The 27,614-nt window shown below is 47.5% G+C and overlaps 3 long non-coding RNA genes across 3 annotated transcripts, besides 3 other annotated features; 2 read left to right on the forward strand and 1 right to left on the reverse strand.

The window, feature by feature from the left end:
• LOC283387 (uncharacterized) lies at window positions 1–26,648 on the reverse strand. The gene is made up of 4 exons (NR_148947.1): window positions 23,906–26,648; window positions 3,019–3,142; window positions 2,162–2,254; window positions 1–547 (listed from the first exon to the last, which is right to left on the reverse strand). It is a non-coding gene; the product is annotated as an uncharacterized LOC283387 (long non-coding RNA).
• On the forward strand, window positions 4,007–20,688 carry LOC124902948 (uncharacterized). The gene is made up of 2 exons (XR_007063336.1): window positions 4,007–4,106; window positions 20,479–20,688. It is a non-coding gene; the product is annotated as an uncharacterized LOC124902948 (long non-coding RNA).
• Window positions 4,892–5,186: a silencer, noted in NCBI's record as "tiled region #12928; HepG2 Repressive non-DNase unmatched - State 7:EnhWF". NCBI's record gives its function as "represses a minimal TATA promoter and a strong SV40 promoter by Sharpr-MPRA in HepG2 cells {active_cell/tissue: HepG2}" and the evidence as "EXISTENCE:reporter gene assay evidence [ECO:0000049][PMID:27701403]".
• Window positions 19,792–20,086: an enhancer, noted in NCBI's record as "tiled region #14680; K562 Activating non-DNase unmatched - State 7:EnhWF". NCBI's record gives its function as "activates a minimal TATA promoter and a strong SV40 promoter by Sharpr-MPRA in K562 cells {active_cell/tissue: K562}" and the evidence as "EXISTENCE:reporter gene assay evidence [ECO:0000049][PMID:27701403]".
• Window positions 23,289–23,789: an enhancer, noted in NCBI's record as "H3K4me1 hESC enhancer chr12:58286906-58287406 (GRCh37/hg19 assembly coordinates)". NCBI's record gives its function as "activates a minimal SCP1, AML or CMV promoter by ChIP-STARR-seq in naive H9 embryonic stem cells {active_cell/tissue: H9 hESC(naive)}" and the evidence as "EXISTENCE:reporter gene assay evidence [ECO:0000049][PMID:30033119]".
• LOC101927608 (uncharacterized) lies at window positions 24,405–26,998 on the forward strand. Its single transcript, NR_187681.1, has 2 exons — window positions 24,405–24,517; window positions 25,818–26,998. It is a non-coding gene; the product is annotated as an uncharacterized LOC101927608 (long non-coding RNA).
• The last annotated feature ends 616 nt before the right edge of the window (window positions 26,999–27,614 follow it).

Below are 27,614 nucleotides of genomic sequence, written 5' to 3' on the forward strand. Positions count from 1 at the left end.
TGCTTTCATTGTACCTTTTTATTTGAAATTTTAGAGCTTTTAGATGAAGGGAACGCAGCAGTAAGTGCAAAGCATACAAAATATCCTGGTTGGGGAGAATGTCCCGGTTTTTCTCTCCAATTGTCCATGACAGCTCTGAGGAGGAAGAGCTGCTCACAGGGAGCACTGCCTCTGTCTCCCCTTTGAGTGGGCTCCTCCTGAATTCTTGCCCCGCTGCAGTAGGAAATGGGGCCTCCTGAGAAAGCTTTAGGAGGGAGTCCATGCCACCAAGATTGACGGGGCTAGGTGTGGGCTGGCCCTCCCCCAGCGCCTCAGTGCTGTGAGCTTGGTATAGACTGTCCTTGGTTGGGGAATGTGGTGGAAAGGAGTCAATCCACACTAGGCCGACAGTGAGAGCTCTCGCTTCAGTCCTCCAGTTAGGAAAGTTGGGCTGCTCTTTCCATCTCTGCACCCGGCTTCATCCATCGCACCCAGGAGGTTGGAGCCATTCGTGAGGAGAGGCCATGTAGGACAGTGGTGGAAACATGGACTCCACTGGCAGACAAACCTGGGAGCAAAACCTGGTGAGACCACCTGCACTGCCCAGAGCAAGCCACTTGCCCTTTCTGGACCTCACTGTCTCAGTTTCCCCACCAGTAAAATGGGGATAATAAAGCATCCATTGTCCAGATCCTCGTGATGCATGTAAGATACTTGGCACATATGAAGTCACAATGTGTATTATTAACACTGAACAGTATGAATAATAGTCCCAGAACTCAGGCTAGCTAGACCTCCTTCCTGCACCATCACTAATGTGCCAAAACCCGTTTCAATCCAGGGCTGTGTAGTGCAATGAGAAGGGGCTCTGGAGCCAAACACAGCCAGGTTCCAACCCTGGTTCCTTCATTTTCCAGTTTTGTCAGATCAATTTGTGAGACTCAGATTTTCTGAGTCCCAGTTTCCTCATCCGTAAGAATAGTGATAATAAATATTCACCTCAAAGGGTATCAGTGAGGATTAAATGAGATCATGTTTATACAAGAACCCACACAGTGCCTGGCACACAGTAGGTGTTGATAAATAATTCCCTTCCCCCTTTCCTTCTCCCTCTGCTTCTGTTAAAAAGGAAAAGAATTTTATAATCAGCCACCAGTTTACAGGAAATGCAGGAGGAAGATAGGGATGGTAAATGGTGGTGGTGGGGGGGGATTTCATCAGCAAAATCCAGAATTTGGGAAATTCTGTAGGACAAATGACGCAGAATCCTCAATGAACAAATTACAAGAGAGAAAAAGTGGGAGGGCCAAGTGAAATGCGAAGGCCGGTCGGGCACGGAGGCTAACACCTGTAATCCCAGCATTTTGGGAGGCCGAGGTGGGAGGATTGCTTGAGACCAGGAGTTCAGGACCAGCCTGGGCAACATGGCGAGACCCAAGTCTCTACAAAAAAGTTAAAAATTAGCTGAGTGTGATGGCTTGCACCTGTGGTCCCAGGTTGTTGAGAGGCTGAGGCAGCAGGATTGCTTGTGCCCAGGAGGTTCAGACTGCAGTGAGCCGAGATCGCACTACTACACTCTGGCCTGGGTGACCGAGTGAGACTCTGTCTCTAAAAACAAAAAAAAAAAAAAGAAAGAAAAGAAAAAAGAAATATGAGGACCTTGTTCAGATCCCAATCCAAACAAACCAACTGGGAAAAAATAAAAGAGGCCATCAGGGACATTTTGATATTGACTAGATATTTGATAACATTAAGTAATCATCGTTGATATTGACTAGATATTTGATAACATTAAGTAATCATCGTTAATTTTTAGGGTGATAATGGTATGGTAGTCATGTTCCAGAGAAGTTTTTATCTTTTGGAACACATAATGAAGAAATTAAAGATTAAATGATATGACATGGGGATTTGCTTGAAAATAATTTAGTGGGGTGAAGTGAGGGGTGGAAGTGAAGCAAAATCGGCCATGTATGGATAACCAAGCTGCGTGATGGTATGTGGGGGTTCATTAAACTATTCTCTCTACTCTTGTACATGTTTGAATATTTCCATAAAAGTAAAAAAAAAAAAAAAAAGAGAGAAGCAGCGGTCCTTTTAGATTAGAATTGTCTCTCCCACCTACCTCCTCCTTCATATTCTCCCAGCCCCTTCCTCACTTCAGTTTCTTCTTACCACCTACCTCGACTATACTGCAACAGCCTCTTAGAATCTCCCAGCCTTTGATCTCTCTCCCATCCAATCTTCTTCCCATTCTGCTGCCAAAGTTATCTTCCTAAAACACAAATCAGATCATGGTGCTTTCCTGTTTGAAAACTCTTTGGTAGCTCTCTATTGCCAGTAATCTAGTAGAGTACAAAATCCTTATTATGTGATTCAAAGCCCTTCACAGTTAGGCTCAGCCTTCCTGCCTCCTTCCTTTCCCATCCCCTGGGATGGGGATCCCAGGCCAATCCCTATCCCCTCATTCAGCCTGGCTTTTGGTCATACCAGCCAGGCCATTTCATGCCTCTGTGACTTCTCTTATATAATTACCTGGCAGATCCTCCTCCCTGGCCCTTAACTTCATCTATTGAAGACTAAAATATTTTTCAAATCTTGGTTCAAATGTCATTCTTCCTTGGTGGTTTCTAGATGTCTTTCCAATGCTCACTAAATATCTGTGCCTCTCTGCCTTCTGGCATATGGTAGGATCTCTCTTCCTGGCTCTCTGTAGTTCGATGGGGCCATGTGACCAGCTTTAGCCAATGGGTTGTGAGTGGAAGTCATACATTTCACTTCTGGGCCAAGAATTCCAGAATTCAATTGCTAATTCAAAACCCTTTGAGCTGTCTTTCCCTCTGGCTCAGCGATGGGTGACATCCAGATTAAAACTGTTCTCAGACCTGGCATGGTGGCTCACACTTGTAATCCTAGCACTTTGGGAGGCTTTGGTAGGTGAATCAATTGAGGTCAGGAGTTCGAGACCAGCCTGGGCAACATGGCAAAACCCCATCTCTACTAAAAATACAAAAATTAGGCAGGTGTGGTGGTGCATGCCTGTAATCCCAGCTACTCGGGAGGCTGAGGCAGGAGAATTGCTTGAATTTTGGTGGGGCAGAGGTTGCAGTGAGCCAAGATCATGCCACTTCATTCCAGCCTGGGCGTAAGAGCAAAACTCCATCTGAAAAAAAAAACACACAAAAAAGCTGTTCTCTCAGGCTGGAGGTTCTGGAGTGCGCGTGGTGCCATGGAGTAGAATCTCCTGTCCACCTGTGGGCGCTATGTAGTGTGAGACACATAAATCTGAGAGGCCTTTTGTTTCTTCAGCACAACCGAGTCTACCCTAAGTCTTCCCTCTCTGAGTTGCAATCCACTGTGCTGTCCTCTGTGTTTTCACATTATATCGTGTATGTAATGTGTCCAGATGACACCCCCGTCAGGTTAGAAATCCTATGTTACGATCTTAGCATTCTGGCCCGCAGCACTCAGCATAGTGCTCTGCAGAGGGGAGGGGTGAATGTACAGCAGTCCTTGGCTGTGGTGGATGCAGTTGGGCGTATGTGTAGAGGTTGAGAGGTGTCATCCTTGCCAGGGGCCTCCGTACTCATTAGTCTTGGGGATCTTTTTTTTTTTTTTTTTTTTTTTTAGACAGAGTCTTGCCCTGTCGCCCAGGCTGGAGTGCAGTGGCGCCATCTGGGCTCAGTGCAAGCTCTGCATCCCGGGTTCATGACATTCTCCTGCCTCAGCCTCCCAAGTAGCTGGAACTACAGGCACCCACCACCACACCCGGCTAATTTTTTGTATTTTTAGTAGAGACGGGGTTTCACCGTAGCCAGGATGGTCTCTATCTCCTGATCTCATGATTCGCCCGCCTCGGCCTCCCAAAGTGCTGGGATTATAGACGTGAGCCACCGCGCCCGGCCAGTCTTGGGAATCTTGATGGTTTGGAGATGGAACCAGGACCTGGCTTGATATCAATGCCCAGCATGCCCAGCTTCAGGGAATGAAGCATGGTTGGTCTAGGCGAATCCTAATAATCCCTTTCCCTGGTGGCTATAATTAGTTTAGACATCGGAACACAAACCAGTTTTGGACGATGAAATGTAAAGGGAAAGTCTCGTTCCCTCCTAGGAAAACAGAAACAGGTGAGAAATGCAGCTAGTCTATTCTAGTTTGGATTTCCTGGATTGCAAAGCCTGAGACAGATTAAAATGCTAATTGTTTATGTGGTAAGGGATTCTAGGGAGCAGGGTAAAGGGAGGAGGGAGAAGGGAGTGGGGAGAATGAAACAGGAAAGGAAGACAAGCCAACCAAGGGCGTACTTTTGAGCTTATTATTATAATTGTCCCTCCAAATGGCAGGAGGCTGGGGCATTTGTCCAGAGACTTTCATTGGTTGCCAGTTGCCCCTCATTTTACTAAAACTGAATGTTTCCTGTGACTTCCTAGTGACAAGAATCCATTGGGTACGTTTCATCTTGGCCTGCTCTGTCCACCACTTCCTCTTTTTGAACTCTCTCTATCCTGGTTTCTACGGCAGTTCTCCCTCCAGCGCTTGTCCGGCCTCTCTGGCTGCTTCTTGGTTTCCTTCCCAGGCTCCTTTTCCTTTTTCCGCTCTGTGGCTGATCTCCTGGATTCTATTCTGGTTTTCCTCACTTCTACCCACTCTTACTGGGCAAACCGTTTTGCGAAATGGTTTCCACTGTTACTGTTGTGATGATGCCAGCTCCTATGTCTATGCCCCCAGCTCTCCCTCCCAAGTCCTGTAGGCATATAGCTCTTCATCCACACAACACATATTCATTAAGCTATTTGAATATGCCCAGAGTTGTGATAGGGCAGTAAATAGGAACTCACCTTCTAGGAGTGCTAGCCAATATGGAGCTAGTGGCCAAAATCCAAGTAAACAAGTAAGTAAGCCAGATATTTTTAGATAGTGACAGGTTTTATGCAGACAATAAAACAGGTCAGTGTGATAGAGGGTGTATGTGTGTGTGTGCATGCACACTATTTTAGAATGACTGCTTTGAGGAGGTAACATTTGAGCAGAGATCATTTAGTGGTATCTGTCATTTGTGGTTATGCAAGTGCAAAGGTCGTAGAGGCATGGAGGACTTATCAATGTGTTTGGGGAAGAGGAGGAAGACCAGTGTGGCTGGAGCAATGTAGGCACAAGGGAGTGATGGGAGATAAAGTCAGAAAAATAGTAGGGGCTCATTCAAGTAGGGCAAGGTGAGCATGCATTGAACAAGATCCCCAGGTGACACTTATGTAAGCTTCTGCACACATTTGAAAACCATTAGGTAGATGAAGAAGAAATGAGAAGAGAAACCCCATTTAAAAGTTCTTCTTCTTCTTTTTTTTTTTGGAGACAGAGCCTCACTCTGTTGCCCAGGCTGGAGTGCAGTGGCACAATCTCGGCTCACTGCAACCTCCGCCTCCCGAGTTCAAGTGATTCTCCTGCCTCAGCCTCCCAAGTAGCTGGGATTACAGGCATGCGCCACCACGCCTGGGTAATTTTTGTATTTTTAGTAGAGACAGGGTTTCACCATGTTGGCCAGGCTGATCTCGAACTCCTGACCTCAGGTGATCGAACTCCTGCCTCGGCTTCCCAAAGTGCTGGGATTACAGTCATGAGCCACCACGCCTGGCCTAAAAGTTATTCTTTAAAAGCATTTTGGAGGCCTGGTGTGGTGGCTCATGCCTGTAATCCTAGCACTTTGGGAAGCCAAGGTGGGTGGATCACCTGAGGTCAGGAGTTTGAGACCAGCCTGGCCAACATGTTGAAACCCTGTCTCTACTAAAAATACAAAAAAATTAGCCAGGCGTGGTGGTGAGTGCCTGTAATCCCAGCTACTCGGGAGGCTGAGGCAGGAGAATCGCTTGAACCCAGGAGGCAGAGGTTGCGTGAGGGAGATTGCACCACTGCACTCCAGCCTGGGCAGCAAGAGCGAGACTCTGTCTCAAAAAAAACAAAGAACAAAAAACAAAAAACAAAAACAAAAAGTATCTTGGAAAGAGTAAGACACACAAAAGTATAACATTCTATCACAACCTCCTATGTACCCATCACCCAGCCTCAACACTAGCAACTTTATTTTACAAAGGAAACTGAAAGTAGTAGCCAGGAATGTAGGAGGAAGACCAGGGTAGGATTGTGTCAGTGAAGCATGTCAAAGAGAGAGATCAACAGTGACAAATAAAGGGAAAATGTTCTGTAGGTTGAGCAGAGGTCAAATCCCTGCCAACATCATGGCCCTGTGTTGTCCCATGGGCTTCTCACAGTACAGGTGGCTGTTAAGGTGCCAGCTGCCCCTCAACCTGCTTCTCCTCTTATTTTCTCTGTCGAAGAGTCTTCAATGGTTTCTGTTTGGGATGAAAGCAGGGACTGAGACTTGGACTTGTGCTCAGGGAGTTTATTTTGGAGACGATCCTGGGAAGCAGGGTGCGAGAGCAAAAAGAGTGAGGCAGGGAAGAAGGAAAAGTCACAAAGAGTATGTTATTGAGCTGGTTACCACTGTGAGCAAATGAAGCTCGATCTGGCTGGGCCCATAAGGAACTGAGTAGAGTGCATCTCAGATTGGCCCCCAGCAGCATAGGAGGCCAGGGCACTTATTCAATGGTCTCTCACACCCCATTTCTTGAGCGCTGTGCTGGGGATATTAACCTCCCTGCATTTTTCTGGGCTGCCCAAGGCAGAAAGCCAGCCAAGGCAGAAAGACAGCCATGTGGACTGTCTGCCACAGCTGCACCCGAATCTGAGCAGGGAGAGAGGGTATAGAGTACAGGACACCTAAAGTTGTCTGCTGCAGCTCCATCACGGCTTGATAGGATCTAACCTCCTTCTCATGACACCAGTGTCATTAACCTATTAACCAGGCCAGCAACATGGGAGTTATTCTAAATGTTTCCCTTATCACCCTGTCTCCCTCGTTTGTCTCTGCAGCCACGCTTTTAGTTCAGGTGGTCATTTCTTGAGGACCATGGTAATGATCTCCTTATCTTTTATTAAATGCCAATGACACTAAAAAATGATATATATATAAGAAATTGGAGGCTGGGTGCAGTAGCTCACGCCTGTAATCCCAACACTTTGGGAGGCCGAGGCAGGTGGATCACCTGAGGTCAGGAGTTCGAGACCAGGCTGGCCAACATGGCAAACCCTGTCTGTACTAAAAATACAAAAAAAAAAAAAAATTAGCTGGGCATGGTGACACGTGCCTGTAATCCCAGCTACTTGGGAGGCTGAGGCAGGAGAATTGCTTGAACCTGGGAGGCAGAGGTTGCAGTGAGCTGAGATCATGTCATTGCACTCCAGCCTGGGCGACAGAGTGAAACTCTGTCAAAAAAAAAAAAAAAAAATTAGAGGTGATGTGGAGTCTGTGGAGGGGTACATGACTCAGTACTAGGGACTCAGAGAAAGCTTCCAGGAAGAAGTGACTTTTAAACTAAAATCTGAGGACTGAGTAGGAATTAGCCAAAGAAGTATGATGAAAATTCAGTTACAGGGAAGACCATGTGTGAAAGCTCAAAAAGGGCATGGCAAATTTAAGACACTAAAAAGGGTTAGTTTATCTGAAGTGTGATGGAGGAAGAAAAGAGAGATTGGCCAGATCATACAGGACCCTGCCAACCGTATGAACAAATATTGACTTTATTCAAAAGGCAATGGGAAGCCTGAAGATTTAAGACAGGAGGGTGATGGGATTGAATCTGAGTTTTAGTAAGATCACTTTGACTAAAGTATGGGAAAAAATTAGTAGATCACACTCATTTTTGGCTATTTGGCTACAAACCCCTTGTTGGGTGCCTCGCCAGTGTCTGTTCCCTGCCTGCTGCCATAGTCATGGTTTTCCTTTAGAGGATTTCACATCTTCAACCATGTGATTTGGGTGTGATGAGCTCTTCTTCCCAACCATTGCTAAGTTAATTAGTGCACTGACCACAGTGGCTGGTTCAGGGATGGGCACTTGATCCATTTTAAGTGAGTGAGAGAATGTGAGTCTCAGGACTTTTATAGCAGCTACTAGTATGAAGATGTAAGGTGTGAATTGCTATAGCCATGCCATGACTGTTATGGGAAAATCTGGAGCTGTTGGAAGACCACTATATGAAACATGATGATGCCATGAAAGGCAGAGAGAGAAGGGGGGGAACTGACTTCATGGTAACGTTGTATGAACTTTTGGATCAAGCCTTATTTACTTTTTACTTTTTTTTTTTGAGATAGGGTCTTACTCTGTTGCCCAGTCTGGACTGCAGTGGTGTGATTACAGTCACTGCAGCCTTGACCTCAAAGGCTCAAGTGATCCTCCCTCCTCAGCCTCCTGAGTAGCTGGGGCCACAGATGCATGTCACTGTGCCCAGCTAATTAAAATTTTTTTTGTAGAGACGGGGTCTCGCTATGTTGCTCAGGCTGGTCTCAAACTCCTGGGCTCAAGCAATCTGTCTACCTTGGCCTCCCAAATTGCTGGGATTATTGGCATGACCACCACGCCTGGCCTCAAGCCTTATTTAAAGCCACCTCTTCCTCTGGACTTCACAGTAAATTGAGCCAATAAATTCTCCATATTGTTTAAACCAGTTGAATTGGAGATTGGTTTACTGCAACCTAAAGATTCCTAACTGATACAGAAATGAGTTCCATAAGGTGTTTCAAGAGACAGGCCCTAAAAATGGGATTGTCCAACCAAAGAAGTAAGATGAAGGATAAAGAACCCCTACATTTTCGGCTGAGAAATTGGCCATCTAATTAGCTATACAGTTTCCTGTTGTGACTTGGGGTGCAGATTACACAATCTGCGGCTGTAGCGGTACACTACTTAGTAGAAAAATGTAGAGTGTTGGATTGGGTTGGCTCCTTCTTGTTAATATTAATAAAGTACTGTAAAAAGGTAAGTTGCTGGCCTGGTGCAGTGGCTCACGCCTGTAATCCCAGCACTTTGGGAGACCAAGGTGGGCGGATCACGAGGTCAGGAGTTCGAGGCCAGCCTGATCAGCATGGTGAAACCCCGTCTCTACGAAAAATACAAAAATTAGCCCAGCATGGTGGTGCACACCTGTAATCCCAGCTACTCGGGAGGCTGAGGCAGGAGAATCTCTTGAACCCAGGAGGTGGAGGTTGCAGTGAGCTGAGATCATGCCACTGCCCTCCAGCCTGGGTGACAGAGCGAGACTCCGTCTCAAAAAAAAAAAAAAAAAAAAAGGGTAAGCTTATGTTCAAACTAGCTTACCCCAAAACAGAGAAGGAAGAAAATACAGCTTTGATAAGAGAAGCCCTTTCTGCCTACGGTAAAAAAAAAAAAAAAAAAAAAAAAAAATGGCTGAGAGGACTAGAAAGCCCTGAAAACTTTGTCCCAAGGTATGTTAGTATTAGGTTAGTGCAAAAGTAATTGCGTTTTTTGCCATCGAAAAGAATTGCAAAACTGCAATTACTTTTGCACTAACCTAATGTGAACAGAAACAGGGATGGGGGATTGCATTGTATGGGATATGGGATATGAGATATGGGATATGGGATACAAGATATGGGATATGGGATATGGAACATGGGACATGGGACATGGGATATGGATATGGTCTATGGGATATGAATATGGGCTATGGGACATGGATATGAGGTATGGGATATGGATATAGGCTATGGGATATGGATGTGGGATATGGATATGGGATGTGGGATATGGATATGGGATATGGGATGTGGATGTGGGATATGGATATGGGATATGGGCTATGCCATATGGGATATGGATGTGGGATATGGGATATGGATGTGGAATATGGATATGGGCTATGGGCTATGGATGTGGGATATGGATATGGGCTATGGGCTACGGATGTGGGATATGGGATATGGAATATGGGATATGGATGTGGGATATGGGATATGGGATATTGATGTGGGATATGGATGTGGGATATGGATATGGGCTATGGGCTATGGATGTGGGATATGGATATGGGATATGGATATGGGCTATGGATGTGGGATATGGGATATGGAATATGGGACATGGGATATGGGCTGTGGGATATGAGATATGGGGTATGGATGTGGGATATGGGATATGAGATATGGGCTATGGATGTGGGATATGGGCTATGGACTATGGGATATGGATGTGGGCTATAGGATATGGAATATGGGATATAGGATATGGGATATGGTTGATGGCTTATCCCTAGCCCTTTCCCAAGCACCTCCTGCTTTTTATTCCTCCTAAAACAAAGGTGACCATAACTTCCATGACAGATGTAAGTGGGACACAGCCTATTGGCAACGACCAGATTTAGAGTGCCTCCCAGGCAGTTTCTTCAAGTTGTTCAAAGGTACAGTTTGAGACTAAACGTAAGGCTGGGTATTTGGGAAGAGAACTAAGACCTATTTGCTTAGTGAAAGAAATACCCAGGCCAGACTCCAGACTCAAAGACTAGTCTCACAAAGAGCTCTGGTTTTGGCCGGGCGCGGTGGCTCACGCCTGTAATCTCAGCACTTTAGGAGGCGGAGGCGGGCGGATCGCCTGAGGTCGGGAGTTCTAGACCAGACTGACCACCATGGAGAAACCCCATCTCTACTAAAAATACAAAAATTAGCTGGGCTTGGTGGCGCCTACCTGTAATCCCAGCTACTCGAGAGGCTGAGGCAGGAAAATTCCTTGAACCTGGGAGGTGGAGGTTGCAGGGAGCCGAGATCATGCCATTGCACTCCAGCCTGGGCAACAAGAATGAAACTCTGTCTCAAGGGGAGCTCTGGTTTCATATACTAGCTCATAGAATCAACCAGAAGCAAATAAACTTGAAGCCCACAAAGAAACTTCAAGCTCAGATGACAATGGCTAGAGACTTCAACTCCTAACATAATTCTCAGGTCCCAAAGCACAACGAATTTGTCTTCACAGAACCACTGCTTTAATGTCTTCTGTGAACATTAAAACAGTGGTTCTCACACTTTTGTGTACAGAAGACGTTTATTAAAAATACAGATTATTGGGCTTCATCCCCAAAGAATCTGATTCCTTCCATCTGGGATTGGGCTTGGGGATCTGCATTATTAACAAATATCCTTGATGATCCACATGTGGGTGGCCAGGGAGCCCCGCTTTGGGAAACACTGCATTGAAGGAAATTATTACTTTTTTTTTTTGAGACGGAATCTCGCTCTGTTGCCCAGGCTGGAGTGCAGTGGTATGATCTCGGCTCACTGCAACCTCTGCCTCCTGGGTTCAAGCAATTCTCCTGCCTCAGCCTCCCCAGTAGCTGGGATTACAGGCCCATGCCACCACACCCGGCTAATATATATATATGTTTTTAGTTTTTGTATTTTTAGTAGAGACGGGGTTTCACCACATTGGTCAGGCTGGTCTCGAACTCCTGACCTCGTGATCCGCCGGCCTCGGCTTCCCAAAGTGCTGGGATTACAGGCATGAGTCACGGCGCCTGGCCTAGTATTAAATTCTTTAGGGATGATCAGCAGGACTCATTTTGTCCTGATAGTATCTGTGCACTGTGTAGGGCCCAGACTGAGAGCTCAGCACAGCCTTGTCTATTAGACCTGAAAAGCATGGGTTTCTGGAACCAAGGTGGTTTTGGGAAGTAAGCAGACTATGATTCCAGGAACTGATTTGCCCTGAGTCCCTGCTCCCTTACTTCTTGATCATGTTTAATTCTGCCTTGGCTCTATTAGGATTGCTTTGTCCAGACACTGACCTGGCAGTGAGTGTGCCTGGGATCCTCTGTCAGTGTCCCTTGTATAGTCAGAGAGTTCTGGACACATCTGTGGGAGGTAGAGAATGTGACAAACCCTGGGGAGAGTGTTTACTAAGCTTTTCCATGTTTATTTTCTTTCCTCCATCTCACCTTAGGACAGGGAGTATTCTGAAAGCCTTAGTGAAGCAGTGACACTTTTCTGGCACCTTGAATGACTCATATGTCTCAGTGCCACACACCCTCCATTGAAGGCCTTGGGATTGTCAAGGTCAGGATATTTAAAGTCACATTCTTGGGAGTGATCTGGACATTGCCAGGTCAGCTCAGGATGAGGGAGGTGCCCAGAGACAGCTGTCAGTGTCAGTGCCCATAGTTTATGGTGAGTCTAATAGTAAATGCCAGTTATAGGTATGGTCTTATCATTGTTTAGTTATAGCTGGTGATGGCCAAGTGACTATGGGTTTCTTTCCATTCATTCTCCTAAACTTTTTTTGTTTTTTTAAAGTAAGTGTCTTGCTTCGTTGCTGAGGATGGAGTACACTGGCATGGTGACAGCTCACTGCAGCCTTGAACTCCTGGCTCAAGTGATCCTCCTGCTTCAGCCTCCTGAGTAGCTGGGACTGCCGGCACATGCCACCATGCTCAGTTAATGTTTTCACTTTTTTTTTGTAGAGACAAGGTCTTTCTCTGTTGCCCAGGCTGACCTCAAACTCCTGGTCTCAAGTGATCCTCCTGCCTTGGCCTTCCAAAGTGTTGGGATCACAGGCATGAGCCACTGCACCTGGTGTCATTCTCCTAAACATTTATTTTTTTTTCTATTTTTCTTTCTTGTTTGCTTTTTCTTTTCTTTTTATTTCTTTTTTTTAAACTGAATCTTATGTTTACTGAGATCTCCTAAACATTTAATTCAGCACCTACTATATGCAAAACGCCAGGGAGAATACAAAGATGTGTAGACATAACTGTACCCCAGATGAACTCACAGACTAGAAAGCAACTTGGTGGCCCTGCAGAGAGACTCAGGAGCGATAATCATACTCACAGGTAGGGTATTATAAGCTCACTAAAGAAGAGCTTCCAACCTGCACTGGTGGAGATAATGGTGAGGCATAGGGATATCTTCTGAAAGCAAGGTCCTGAGCTGAATATACAAATTTAAGCAGAAGTTATCCAGAACAACTGCTGTTTCTGGTCAAGATGCAATAACAGGGATGGACTTTACCCTCCTTCCTGGAGCAATTAAAATGTTGTATAAAATATATGAAGCAATGGTTTTGGATATCAGACAGCACAGGACAGTGATCCCTGAGAGAGGGAAAACAAGTGAACTGAGCTGTACATTTGCTCCATCCTACTGCCTTGAGAGAGTTTCCAGGCTGCTGTGCAAAGAGGAGCAACCCAGGCAGAGTCCAGTAGTCTCTCTGAGCTGAGGAGATGCAACAGGGAATTCAGAGAGGCCAAGGCAGCTATAGTTTTAAGGGCAGTGTACCAGACAGGAGAGAGCTACAGAGAGATGAAGGAAGAGAATAAGGGTGGGGGGCAGGAGGTGGGAGGAGAGAGAGAGCGAGAGAGAGATGCAGAAATCTGCAGAGGGTCCCATTGAGTCTTCAGCTGAGTATTGATCAGAGCATGTATGTGAGGAAAGTATCTGAGTCTAGGGAAACAACCACACAAAAGGAGCAGAGGAAATAATCCCTGGAGTGTATGTTCTCACCAGCCAGTTGAAAAACCTCATAAATCACAAGACATCAGACAGAGTACTCAGAAGGGTATTATCTCAGTAGTGGGGCAAAGTTAGTACTAAACTAGTGGATATTATGGTCCTAACTAACAAAGTTTAAACACAATCAAACTTGAAAAGATCTGTTTCCAAATAACTGTGTCTCAGAACAAAGTTCAAGAGTATTTACAGAAATATAAAAATATGCAACACCCAACAAGGTAAAATTCACAATGTATACTATCCAGTCAAAAATTATTGGATACAGGCATACAAATAATGAGGAAAATATGACCAATAACAAGGAAAATAAACTAATCAATAGAAACAGACCCAGAAATGACATAGATGTTAGAAAAAGAACATTAGTAGACAAGGACATTAAAACAGTTATTACATGTTTAAGAAAATAAAAGAAAGATTAAGTATGCTAAATAAAGGCATGGAAGATATTAAAAAGATCCAAATTAAACTTCTAGCAATGAAAAATATAATGTGAAATAAAAAATATACTGGATGAAATCAGTAGCAGAGTAAACACTGCAGAGGCAAAAACAAATGAACCTGAAGCTATAGTCATAGAGACTATCCAAACAGAAACACAGAGAAGAAATATTGAGGAAAACAAAAAAGAGCAGAGCACTTCAAGTGGCCTAGTATTTGTGTAATTGGAGTCCCAGGAAAAAGAGGAGAGTAGAAAAATACTTGAAGACATAATGGCCAAATATATTCCAAATTTGATGAAAACTGTAAGTCCACAAATCCAAGAAGCTCAATGAACCCCTAGCACAAAAAACTGGAGAACTACACAAAGACACATCATAACCAAACTGTTTAAAACCAGTGTGAAACAGAATTTCTTACAAGCAGCTAGAGGAAAACAGGATACACTATGTACAAGGGTAGAACATTAAAAATGACAGCAGGCCGGGCGCAGTGGCTCACACCTGTAATCCCAGCACTTTGGGAGGCTGAGGCAGGGGGATCACGAGGTCAGGAGTTTGAGACCAGCCTGGCCAATATGGTGAAACCCTGTTTCCACTAAAGATACAAAAAAAAAAAAAAAAAAATAGCCAGGTGCAGTGGCTCACGCCTGTAATCCCAGCACTTTGGGAGGCCAAGGTGGGTGGATCATGAGGTTAGGAGTTCAAGACCAGCCTGGCCAAGATGGTGAAACCCCATCTCTACTAAAAATAAAAAAAATTAGCCAGGTGTGGTGGCAGGTGCCTGTAATCCCAGCTCTTTGGGAGGCTGAGGAAGAGAACTGCTTGAACTCGAGAGGTGGAGGTTGCAGAGCCGATATCATGCCACTGCACTCCAGCCTGGGTGACAGAGCAAGACTCCATCTCCAAAAAAAAAAAAAAATTAGCCGGGCTTGGTGGCACATGGCTATAATCCCAGCTACTTGGGAGGCTGAGGCAGGAGAATCACCTGAACCCAGGAGGCAGAGGGTGCAGTGAGCCAAGATTGTGCCACTGCACTCCAGCCTGGGCCACAGAGTGAGACTCTATCTCAAAAAAAAAAAAAAAAAAAAAAAAAAAGGCTGGGCGTGGTGGCTCATGCCTGTAATCCCATCACTTTGGGAGGCCAAGGCAGGCAGATCACGAGGTCAGGAGATCGAGACCATCCTGGCTAACATGGTGAAACCCTGTCTCTACTAAAAATACAAGAAGTTAGCCAGGCGTGGTGGCGGGCGCCTGTAGTCCCAGCTACTTGGGAGGCTGAAGCAGGAGAATGGTGTGAACCCGGGAAGCAGAGCTTGCAGTGAGCCAAAATCACGCCACTGCACTCCAGCCTGGGTGACAGAGCAAGACTCTGTCTCAAAAAAAAAAAAAAGAAAAGAAATAAAAGAAAAAGAAAAACAAAAAGAAGTCTGCTGTCATTCTGTGGCCTAGGCTGGAGTGCAGTGGCACAATTTTGGCTCACTGCATCCTCTGCCTCCTGGGTTCGGGCGATTTTCCTGCCTCAGCCTCCTGAGTAGCCGGGATTACAGGTGTGGGCCACCATGCCCAGCTAATTTTTGTATTTGTAGTAGAGACAGGGTTTCGGCATGTTGGCCAGGCTGGTTTTGAACTTCTGACCTCAGGTTGTCTGCCCTTATTGGCCTTCTAAAGTGCTGGGATTACAGGCGTGAGCCACTGCACCTGGCCGCAGACTTCTTTTTGAAAACAACGAAAGCCAGAAGGCAATGGAGTAACATCTTTTGAATACTGAAGGAAAAAAAATTGTCATCCTAGAATTCTATACCCAACAAGAGTAGCTTTCAAAAATGAAAGGGAAATAAAAACTTTTTCAGACATTTAAAATATCAAGGATCACCAGAAGACTTGCATTATAAAAAACAGTGACATGGCTGGGCGCAGTGGCTCACGCCTATAATCCCAGCACTTTGGGAGGCCGAGGCGGGCGGATCACGAGGTCAGGAGATCGAGACCATCCTGGCTAACACAGTGAAACCCTGTCTCTACTAAAAATACAAAAAATTAGCTGGGCGTGGTGGTGGATGCCTGTAGCCCCAGCTTCTCAGGAGGCTGAGGCAGGAGAATCACTTGAACTGGGGAGTCGGAGGTTGCAGTGAGCCAAGATCATGCCACTGCACTCCAGTCTGCGCAACAGAGTGAGACTCCATCTCAAAAAAAAAAAACAGTGACAGAAGTCCTTCAAACAGAAGGAAAATTATACTAGATAGAAATCTGAATCTATACACAGCAATTTAAGAGCACTGGAAATGGGGAATTCTATCTAATAAATGAATAAGTAATGACAGAACAGAGTAACAAAATTTTGTATGCTCTCATGAATTAATGAATATAGGCAACGATCAACAATGACTGACAATGTGACAAAAAGAGCGGCAGCCAGGTGTTATATACCACCCATGTGAAGTAATATTGTCAAAAAATAAGAACAAAAAGAGATAATAATAACCAAACCTGACCCTGGCCACTGGATCTAACTATCAATTTACTGGCTTTACAACAGACAGAGAAACATGTTAAATGATATCACTGTGTTTTAATTTTTTTTAAAAATCCAGATTTGGGAAATTCTGTAAGATAAACAATCAGATTTTTTTTTCATTAAAAAAAGTGCAAGGGGAGAGAGAGAGATTTACAAAGAGAGAGAACTATAAACAAGAGACTTCGGAGACATATCAATTAATCACAATATATAGATCTTGTTTAGATTCCTACTTCAAACAAACATACTAAAAAAGGAAAAAGAATTAAAAATCATTCAGGGAAATGTGAACACTGGCAGGTATTTTATAACATTAAAGAATTATTGAAGAAAAGAGAGTTACCTATCCCAATAGAGGAGGAAGCTCGCTTCAAGGGGTGGGGACAGCATAGGCAAAGCCATCCTCTTTAGTGAGGGGCGACAGTTTAGTAGTTACAGGAGAAAGGACAGCTGCTGCAGAAACATCCTCTTACTTTCCCTCTGGGCTAGAGCTGGCTGTGGTGCTCTGATTTCTGAGAAAGGAAAATGCAGCATATTGACATGGAGACTATTTCTGTCCACCTCTTCTGGCCTCCCTGGGTGTAGCAGGCACCTAAGGGCAGGGGAGAAGTGTTACTGAGGGTTTTCAAGGCCACTCTCAGCAACAAGGGAAAAGGACCTGGTGGTTTGGGTGGAACAGAGGCTTTGAGTACACTGATCTCATCCCACTCTCCCAGCTCTGCCCTGGCATTAGAAGACAAGGAAGGAGGAGAGGTGTAGCACAAAGAACAGGAAAGTATGGAGGGAAGTGAAGAGAAGAAGGGAGGAGGAGAACAGGGAAGAGAAGGAGGGGCTGAAGTTAGAGCTCAGGATGTGTTCAGTTGTTTTAAAGTAGCAACTGACTTAGGGCCCCTAAACAGTAGGTAGAAGACGGGCATAGTGGCTTGTTGCACTTGTAATCCCCATGACTCAGGAGGCCGAGGCAGGAGGATGGCTTGAGGCCAAGAGTTTGAGACCAGCCTGGGCAACATAGTGAGACCCTATCTCTAAAAAAAGTTTAAAAATTAGCTGGGTGTGGTGGTGCGGCCTGTAGTCTCAGCTACTTGGGAGGCTGAAGTGGGAGGATCGCTTGAGCCCAAGAGTTAGAGGCTGCAGTGAGCTATGATCACAACACTGCACTCCAGCCTGGGTGACAGAGTGAGACCCTGTCTCTAAAAGACAAAACCAAAACCAAACTCCAGTAGGTAGAATGCTACCCTGTCTCCTCTCCCTACTTGCAGTTCAGTTCAGAGGCAAAGTAGGGGTGTCAGGAGGGATAAGGGGGATCCTCTGGCTGCAGAAATTGAAGAGTTTGCTCAGGGTCAACAGGACAAGCCAGGGGACCTGACCCCGTGTATCCACGGTCACCCGTGGTGAACGATGTATGCCATGGTACCTTTGTTCTGTGGTTTCCTGTTGTACCAAGATGCCCAGTGAGAAATAATAATAATCTTATTAGTTAACATTATTGAGTACTTACTATGCCAAGCCCTATTCCAAGTGTTTCCATATTAACTCTTTTCATCTTGTCAAGAACCCTTTGAGGAAGGTACAATTATTATTAAACCCATCTAATAAATGAGGTAACTGAGCCCAGAGAGGTTAAGTAACTTTCTTAAGGTCACACAGGTATTAAGTGGCCCAGATGTAACTGAACCTAAGAAAAGTCTAGTTCCAGAGCACATGCTCTTCACAACTACCCAGAATGGTAGTGGTGACCTGGGCCAAGCCTAGTGTGACCTCAGCCCCCTCCCTCAGACAGAGCTTTAGAAAGGCTCCACGTTCTTCCCCCAGAGAAGTTGGGGCCCAGGGCTAGAATTAAGTCTTCCCGGTGTTCTAGAAGAGACTTTGGAACAGCACTAGAAAAGCCACCCTGAGCATGAAAGGCTGGTAGGGCCTCCAGGCTGGGGGAGAGTTTGCCAAAAACAACAGCGTGCCTGCCCTAAACTGTTCTGAGGTTGCACAGCCTGGATGTCAGGCTGGCTGGTCCATGATTCTTATCAGCTCTCCACAGAGCAAGCGCTAGAGTCTGCAGCATTCCCATCTCGGCATATTCCATACTCCGAGGGCCCGGGGAAGGCACTGTCCCAGGCAGCACTCTTGGTGGGAGGCGGGGAGCTCGGGAAGGTCCGTATGTGAATCCCAGCCTGGCTCTTGGTGGGCAGCTGGGTCCCCTCCCCAGGTTCTGGCAGAACACCCTTGAACAATTTAGCCTGAAATAGCATAAGAACTTCTTTCCTATTTTTTTCCAGGCTTTTGGATGAAATTATATTTTACAAATGACTCATTATTATATTTATAGCTTCTCTCCAAATGATTCAAATTGTGGTTTGTCGCCTCCCTGTCTCTCAGCTCCCCCCAGCTCGACAGGAAAAAGTGCTGTTTACTGTATGGCCAGGTGTGGCTGCAAGAGCGGCTTTGCCTCTCCCTGTAATTACGTTTGCCTAAGCCCTGACAAGCACCCCGGCACATTTAGTCATGAGCAGCCTTTGTTCCAGCATGTTGTCGGGAGGCAGCATCCGACATTAACTGGGCTTGGAATCTGCTCCTGTAGGAAGTGCATGTGTGTGGTGCGGGGTGCGGGGAGTAGGGATCGTGGGGGAGGCTGTGACAGAGGGTGCCTTTGTGAGGGCAGAGGCTGGAGAGGCTGGGCTGCAGCTTCTCCCTCAAAGCACCCTGTGAGAAGGCTGGGATGGGCTACGCCCCGGAGGGCCTCAGAAGAAACATTATTCCTCTCCACCCCCAGCCTCCATGGAGGAACTGAGAGGGCCACTGGTGGAGAAGCTGGTGGCTCATACATTCCAGGCTGTGCTAGCGGTTCGGCCAGTGACACTCCAAGGTTTCTTGTGAGGAACCACTCTGGCTCTTTCAAGAATGGGGAGTTCTTGAATTCTCTCCCGCTTTCCAGGGAGCTCTCAGCCACAGTGATTGCTCAGCACCCCTACCCCTGCCCTCCACCCAGCTCCCAGGAAGGTGTGGTAAGGTTACAGTAGCTTGCTTTTAAACAGGCCACCTTTGAGAGGAGGGGTGGAGAGGAGGTTGGGATGAGGCCCCATTTGTAGAAACAGTTTATTCCATTGGTCGTCCACGGAATCAAGGTCCTCTGGGTCTGCCCTGGCTGGGTAAAGTTAAAATCCCATAAATTTTGCAACTCATGGTGACATTCTCAGAGCCCGCAAAAACCCTCTGCCCCTCTGGGTCCTTGGACCTGGGGTGTGGTGATACGCAGACACCCCTGGCTGGCTTGGATTGAAGGCTGTGGGGCCGAAGCAAGGACAGGCCACCCTGAGTGTCCTGAGGCCCAGAGGGAAGCAGGGAAACAGGCTACCCTATGAGAGAACGGCTTTGCGGGAAATCTCTCCGTTCCCCTCCCTTGGCTTTAAGTGAAAAGCGAGCTCCTGTAGGTTGCAGATTCTGCAGCTGTGGTGTGGCAGCGGCTTGGGAGGCTGGGCTGGATAAGGCGGAGCCTGAAGTTGTCCATGGTCCAAGCCCTGGGCCCTGGTCGTGTCCCCAGACACAACCCCAGCCTGGGTTCTTTGAGTCTGCTTCCATTTTCACTTCTTGGCACTGCCTGTGTGAGTGGGAAGGGGACTCGGAAGGAGGTGATGTGGGAATGGGTGTGGACAAGCATAACGTCACTGTTGGTGAAATCAGTCTGAAGCCCTAACCAGATGACTTCCATCTGGGCTGAGCTGGGTCACTGTGAGGTGTGTGAGACGGGCCTGAGTGTGGCTGGGGCCAGAGATGTGGAGTACAGGGACCTGTGCCTCTGGGCATTCCCTGGAGGTGGGAAGGGACAGCTGAGAGAAGGACAGGAGAGGGTCCTGGTGAGGCAGGGGAGGCCAGAGGGAGGAAGAGTGTGGACTCACCTGGGCTGTGGGGACCTGAACTTCTTCCTAAGGCCTGAGGGAAAGAGAGACTTCCTGACAAGAAGTGCTGCCTCTTACTTCCCAAGGGACCAGAGCCAGGGCAGCGGGACCAGCTGGCAGCCAGACTGAGGGGCAGCCAATGCCACCATCTGAAGCCACTATCAGGCCACCGTCTTTTATGAGACTGTAGTCTTGTATCTACCCTACTCATGCTGTCACCTTTTCATTTGTCTTTTGACAGTCAACATGCCCGAGTGCTGTGAACGTTATGAGAGGGCCTTGTTGGGAACACGTGCTCCTGGGAATCAGCCCTTCCCTCTGTCCTGTTCCCACTCCTCCCCGACGATGCTCCTGCTCAGAACCCACTCCTCACCTCAGTGAAGCAACGCAGCGGGCACCCTGTGGACAAAGCTGGATATTGGCTCTGAATAAAAGCGAATCATGGGGAAAATCAGTGTCTCAGTAAAATGGGGTTTTCTTAGTAGAGACCAGACTGTGAAGGACCTTGCTTCATTCCATCTTTGAGGAGGATGATGATTCAGGGACATTGGCCCAAGATCAAAGTGGTATTTTTAGGTTGTATTTACTTAGCTATTTGCCGTCTACCTCCTTATTTCCAGGTAGCAACTTCCTTCTTATATCTGAGATGTTTAAGAGATGATGAAACCAGCTTGCACACACTTCTCAAAGTGTGTTTGTTCGCATCCATTATTTCACTGGGGACCGGCTATTATCCTCTCCATTTTCTTTATAAGGATATTGAAAGAGAGATTAAATAACTTGTTCAAGGCCGCATAGCTAGTTAACAGCTGAACTAGGCTTAAAACCAACGTCTGAAGGCTCCTATTCCAGTGGCAGCTGCTGTGTGCTTCTTCTGTTTTCCATCAGTTTGGAAGGGAGCATAAAGTCTACAGCCACATGGGTGGGGTCAGCAGAAAGATTGACCACCAAGCCTGAGGCAGGTGAGGCTGATCTCCTGGGCACAGCCTCTCTGCACAGGAGTTCACAGAAGTGATATGATCCAAAGTTGCTGAGGGAAAAGCCCTTATTTGTGGAATTAACGGCAGGTCTCTCTTGAGGTCAGAATGAATGTTATTGACATTATTGTTTGTATTGTGGTAAGGTATACATAATGGAAAATGTACCATTTTGGCTGGACATGGTGGCTCACGCCTGTAATCCCAGCACTTTGGGAGGCCAAGGTGGGCGCATCACCTGAGGTCAGGAGTTCGAGACCAGCCTGCCAACATGGTGAAACCTCATCTCTACTAAAAATACAAAAATTAGCCGGGCGTGGTGGTGGGTGCCTGTAGTCCCAGCTACTTGGGAGACTGAGGCAGGAGAATCACCTGAACCCAGGAAGCAGAAGTTGCAGGGAGCCGAGATGGCCCCACTACACCCCAGCCTGGGTGACAGAGCGAGACTCCGTCTCAGTAAATAAATAAATAAATAAAAATAATAAAATAAAATGTACCATTTTAACCATTTTTAAGTGTACAGTTTAGTGACATGAAGTACATTCACACTATTGTGCAACCATGATCATTTTCCATCTTTTTTATCTTCCCAAACTGAAACTCCACACCCACTAAACAATAACTCCCCTTTCTCCCCTCTCCCCAGCTCCTGGTAACCACTATTCTACTTTCTGTCTCTGGGAATTTGGCTACTCTAGGTACCTTATGTAAGGGGAAGCATACAATATTTTGTGCTTTTGTATCTGATTCATGCTGACTTATTTTTAATTAGATCACCATTTCGACTGCAGCAGGAATGCTGATCAGTGATGTGCCATGCCTATAGAGGAGTAAAGAAAAGAAAAAGGAAAGAAAGAGCAAAAAGGAAAAAGAAAACAGGAACATTTTGGGGTGGATTTCTTGACTGTCAGGGGTACCAGATGTAAGGGGGCGGTGGTGGCGGGTGGATAGGAAGAAAGTGTTACATAGAAAACAAAATGCTGTGCTTTATCATTCCAGGGGCGGGCTGGCATCTATCCTGGAGGTAGATGCCTCTGTTTTGAGGATTATGCTATGATGAACCCTGATAGGGAAGCGCTCTGGTGAGAACAATGAGACTTTCTGGGCATGCGGAAGGCAAGACAAATTGTTTTGCAAGATGAATCCCCAGGAACTTGGAATTTGGGTAGAAGGGTCTAGAAGAGAAGGGGAAGGCTGGAGAGAAGATGGTTTAAGTTGGGACTTAGGGAACAGTGAGAAGTTTTCTGAGGTGGGAGATGGTTGGTGAACTTTCAGGGTAATGTCTATTCGTAGATTCTCATTTGCTTACTGTCATTTCCTCTCTATGACCCCTAACCTTGAGTAAAAGTCTGCTGCCGTGTGAGTTGGGCGTGGCTGGGGCAATGCAGGGACGGGGCTAAGCAAAGGGTGATAAAGAGCGGGTGGGAGAGGAGAGCAGCTGTGGGAGTTGAGGTGCAGATAGAGGGTGAGAGGTGGGAAGCAGGGAATCCCAGCCAGAGGTCATCAGAGGAATCACAAACCGTCTGAGCATCTTGGCACCCAGAAGGTGGGGGGTTGTGACAAGATTTGAGAGAACTGCAAGCTTGCGGGGACACAATGATGGAGTCCCTACTCTTAGGGGAATGGGGCTGGGGTCACTGCTTGGATATGACAGGGCAGGCACGCCAGTTAGACAGCCTGAAGGAAGGAGTGGATGGATTTCTCTTCTTGGAGACCTTTGGCAACACTTGGACAAGGCACAGCCTGGGTAATGAGGAAGTCCCTGCAACACAGCTCAGTGCCTCCAAGATTTCCAGATACACAGAGAAGAGGACTGTGTTTCTCAAAACAGAGATGGAGGTAGAGCCAAAGCCAAGCCCAGAACATGTCTCGAGCTTTCAAAACACCTTCTCTTTAAAATCATCTGAAAGCAGAGATATATGGCAGTTGACTATCTCTGATGGAGACATATACCTTTATTTATTTATTCATTTATTTTTAAGACAGGTTTTCGCTCTGTCGCCCAGGCTGGAGTGCAGGGGCGCAATCTTGGCTCACTGCAACCTCTGCCTCCCAGGTTCAAGTGATTCTCCTGCTTCAGCCTCCTGAGTAGCTGGGACTATAGGATGTGCCACCATGCCTGGCTAATTTTTGTATTTTCAGTAGAGACAGGATTTCACCATGTTGGCCATGCTGGTCTTGAACTCCTGTCCTCAATTGATCTGCCTGCCTTGGCTTCCCAAAGTGCTGGCATTACAGGCATGAGCCACTGCGCCTGGCCAACATAAGCTTTTTGTACCCCCCAGACATAGCAGGAACCCAGTGAGAAGGCCGGGCTGCTCCCACCCAGAGACCCTGGAAGAGCCTGGCATGGAAAATGGGCCGTGCATCGTGTTGCCGGGAATGCTTGGTGATTCTCTGGCCAGGTCCTGGGCTGAGTGTGGGCCGGGGATGGAGCCCTGCCTGGAATCAGTGATGCATCCTGAAATCTCTGGACCAGCCTGCATGGTGACGGAGACCAGAGTGAGGCTGGCCGAGGACATTTCCCTCTGGTCCTGTCCAGCCTTGGCCCCGAGAACCAAGGCTCTAGGCTCATCTGGCTAGATAGATCCTGTTTTTGGCCCAGCCCAGCATCCCTTTGTTACTTGGGACTTGGGGAAAAAGGCCTGGCTTGGCTCACACTTGAGGAGGTTTGCCAAATGTGTTACTTACCATTAAAAAGCTTGTAAACCTGGGGTGCAGGATGCTGTGGGGGCCTGGGCTGGCTCGAGGATGTGCTGTTTAGAAGTTCCAGAAGTTCCCTGCTGGCTGGGAGGGAATAATGTCCCTGCAGAGTCAGAGGCGAGCCTGCCCTGGGCCTGGGCCAGCTTTCCCTCTCGCGGGCCTCTCTGCTCTGGGGGAGCTGTGTGTTTCCTTCTACTCAGGCAGCTTGGGAAAGACCAGAGGCCCTTTCAGGGAAGGGAGAAAAAGGGAAACAGGCCTGAAATGACTGTCGTGAAAGCCCACTTCTGAGCTTCAGCCCAGAGCACAAATGCATTTTCTTCTGTTATGAGAATGTGGAGAGTTCCAAGAGGTTGTTCAGGGGAAATACAGAGCCTCAGAGCTCTGGTACTAGGAGGACCTTAAAGACCAGTTAGGACAGCCCCCTCATTTTACTGGAAGGCTAATTTGAAACAGAATGGAATTTGGCAGGGGCTAGGATCCCTTTTTTCTTCGGAGGCTTCATTTCCTGAAAGACACAGTGTCCGTGATGAACTGATTTCACTAATTCGCTCATTGCATTTTTTAAAAACCTCAGCGGTCCAGATCTGGCTTCTTTTGAAGGTAACAGAGTTTGTGGCTTCCAGGGTGTTTTCAGTTTGGGGCCATAATTTCTGTTTGTTCATTAAAAATATTTGTTCACCATAGGCTTACTGCCAGGTCTTCCTATGCACAGCATCAGGCTGTGCTTGTGAATGGCTGAGGGAAGCTGGAAATAGGCGAAATCAGGAAAATACTGGAATAAGGCAGGGGCTGATGTGGTCTAGGAGGGTTAGAAGGTGGAGGCTGGCAAACTTGTGATTAAGGGTGGTGTTTGGGCACCCTCAATGAGGAGGCCTCATAGCTATGGAAGAGACCAAGAGAACCTGGGTAGACATCTGTGCAGGGCCTAGGGACTCAGGACCCCCTGTGGATGCAGCTGAGCTGCACCTGAGAGGTCTCTGAGGTGGACAGGCCCCTGGTGGCACAGGAAGCTTCAGAAAGAGGAGACTTGCATTGGGGCAACCAGGCATATCAGAAAAAGATCTTAAAAAAAAAAAGAGAGAGAGAGAGACAGAAAGCAGGTGGGACAGAGTGAAGTGGGGCCTGAATTAATTATAAATGGTGGTGGCTATATCCTTTTTTGGGAGGGGCCCAGGAGGCTGCCAACTTTGATCTCATTTTCTGGACAGGCCTTTAGGTTACCTCTTCTATCCACCACCCAATCACCAGAGAGTTAGTGCCTTCTGACAGAAGCAGCTCTTGGCAGAACACACGAGACATAAGCAGCTGGGGCTGGGGACAACACCTGCTAGGGGTGGGCTGGGAAGGAGACAGACATATGCTGGTGCAGGAGAGGAAAGTGTATCATAGCCTCCTGTCCTGGGAGGCAGAGTGGAAGGGCATGCGGCAGGGTTCAGGGAGGGGCCATCTCTGTCTTATTCATGTGGTAGCCCCGGCGCCTAGCTCAGTGCCAGGCACACCCTAAATAACAAAATCACTAAATAACGGAATGAGTGAATTTAGCTTATGCCTGAACACACAGAGTGTCATCCTCTTGAATCCTTATGTTAACCTATATTTTTCTTCTCCAGGATTTATGGAATAATCAGGAATCTGCCTACTGTGAGCTTTCCCCTTTAGAAAGGTTTTCTCATTGCTGGTGTGACAGAGTGCACTGAAGCTCTGTTTCTCCAGTGATCTCAGCATAAAGACCCTCCATCTGACAGGCAAAGGACGGGTGGGAGGAGGGCCAGGAGGACCTCTCAGGGCCCAGCTGGCTGTGCAGGATGCAGAGGGTGGGCTGGTACAGAGGCTAAGAGCAGAGGTCAGGGTGAGAGGAGGCATTAGCAGCTTTGTTAATTGCATCATGTCTTTCCTCCAGGTGACAACACTAGGCCTATGCCTCATCCCCAGCAGGTGACCAATGGAGGAAAATAAAATAGAACTTCAACATGCTCTCTGACGAACTTGAACCCCTGGTACTGGTTGCTCTGAGAAGCCATGGGTTTCCTTCCTTGGACAATTTCAGAGCCCATCATTATGGTTTATGGAAAGGAAGTGGCACTGAGAGAGACCCTTGCTTCTCCTGGCAGCTCTTCTCCCTTGAGAAAGCTCCTCAACTTCTCCTGAGCTTAGTTTCAGAAGTGATTGTTCATCCTCTCCCACTGGGAGTCCTGGGATGGGCTCCGTATATTTTACTCCAGCCACAGGCGGATGAGTGAGATGACCTTTTCAGGTCACTCAGGAGATCCTCCAGTTTCTCAGGATAATCTAAGCATCTCCCTTTCCTTTAGAAGCTGTCAGAGCTAACTCAGCGTGGGTGTGGGCTCTTTGCAGCTACACCACCTCCCCTCCAATATTTAGAAGTTCTTTGCTGGTTCTTAGGGTCTCCTAATCACAGGTCTTTTTTTCTGGGCTCTGCCTGAAAGGCCACATCCGTTTTTTCCCTGAAAGCTAGCTAGGTCCTCTGGGCTAAACACCACCGCCCCTCAGCTCTAGAAATGGCTGATTTTCATGACGCCCTTTGCCAACCAGATTATTTCTTAAATTGCTCTCCCCCCTGCTGGGTGTTCTGGGACACAGACGCCAGTGTGTGGGGTCCCCGGCTTTCCTTTCTCCCAGAGCAGCTGGAGGAGAGCCTCAGTTTCTCCACCGCACACCCTGGCCTGAGGGTAGCAGCCGACCCAGTCGGGGGAGTGGGCCTCCTGCGCCCTCGGAGGCACAGGACCGCGGGGCCCCACCGAGGACCCCCTGAACGGCAGCCCGCCGCGAGGCAGCGTGGGGACCAAACTGCCGCGCCCCAGAGCCCGCCGCCGCCTGTCCCCGCGTCTGAGGTCCGCAAGGAAGAGCTGCGGGAATGCACGCCCGGGGAAGAGGCTTTGTGAACCGAGGCTCGGCGCGCCCCCCACCCGCGCCCCTCATGGGCAGCCGGGCCCAGCCCGCCGCCCGGGCCCCTCTGGGAAGGGCTTGGAGGCGACGCGGGGGGTCGGGGGAGGAGGGAGCGTTCCTGCAAATCACATGATTTTCCCGCTTATATAAATCACAGCTTGTTTTTCTCAACCAGCTGCAGACTTAAAGGTGCAGTGTCTTCTTTCTCTCCCAAGGGCAGAGGTTCCCCAGGGTGCTTTTGACGACCCCTGAGCTGGGGTGGGGTGGTTTCACCAAGCAGGGGTCAGGGTTCAGGGTTCAGGAACCCCCCACCCCATCCCCCATCCCCGGGATGTTTCCTTTTAGCTCGGGACCAGGGAGGGGCATGGAAATCCGGTCGCCAAATCAGCAGGCAGAGCCGAGCTGGGGCGGCCTCCAGCGCCTCGCCTCGGTCAGCGATCACTCTGGAGACCAGCGATCCCCGTGGGGGACCCTGAGCTGAGGGGTTACAATGAAACTGGCCGGTGGCAGATTTGCGGTGGCCAAGAGCAGACTTCTAAGGGTGATGCTTACTGTTCTGACCAGCCCTGGTTATTTGTTTGAGGCTAAGTTATGTGAGAAGAAAAACGAGCTCAACACATATATCCAGCACCTATCATCTACCTATTAGGCACTGTAGGGAGAAACCAAGACCTTTTAGACAGTCGTCACCTTCAAGTGGTTTATAGGATTTAGGTGATGAGATATGTAGATATAGACATAGAGGCAGACACGAGATATAGAGATTAAATAGCACTAGTCAGTTTCAATG

Source organism: Homo sapiens, chromosome 12 (genome assembly GCF_000001405.40).
Source record: "Homo sapiens chromosome 12, GRCh38.p14 Primary Assembly".
NCBI lineage: Eukaryota > Metazoa > Chordata > Mammalia > Primates > Hominidae > Homo > Homo sapiens.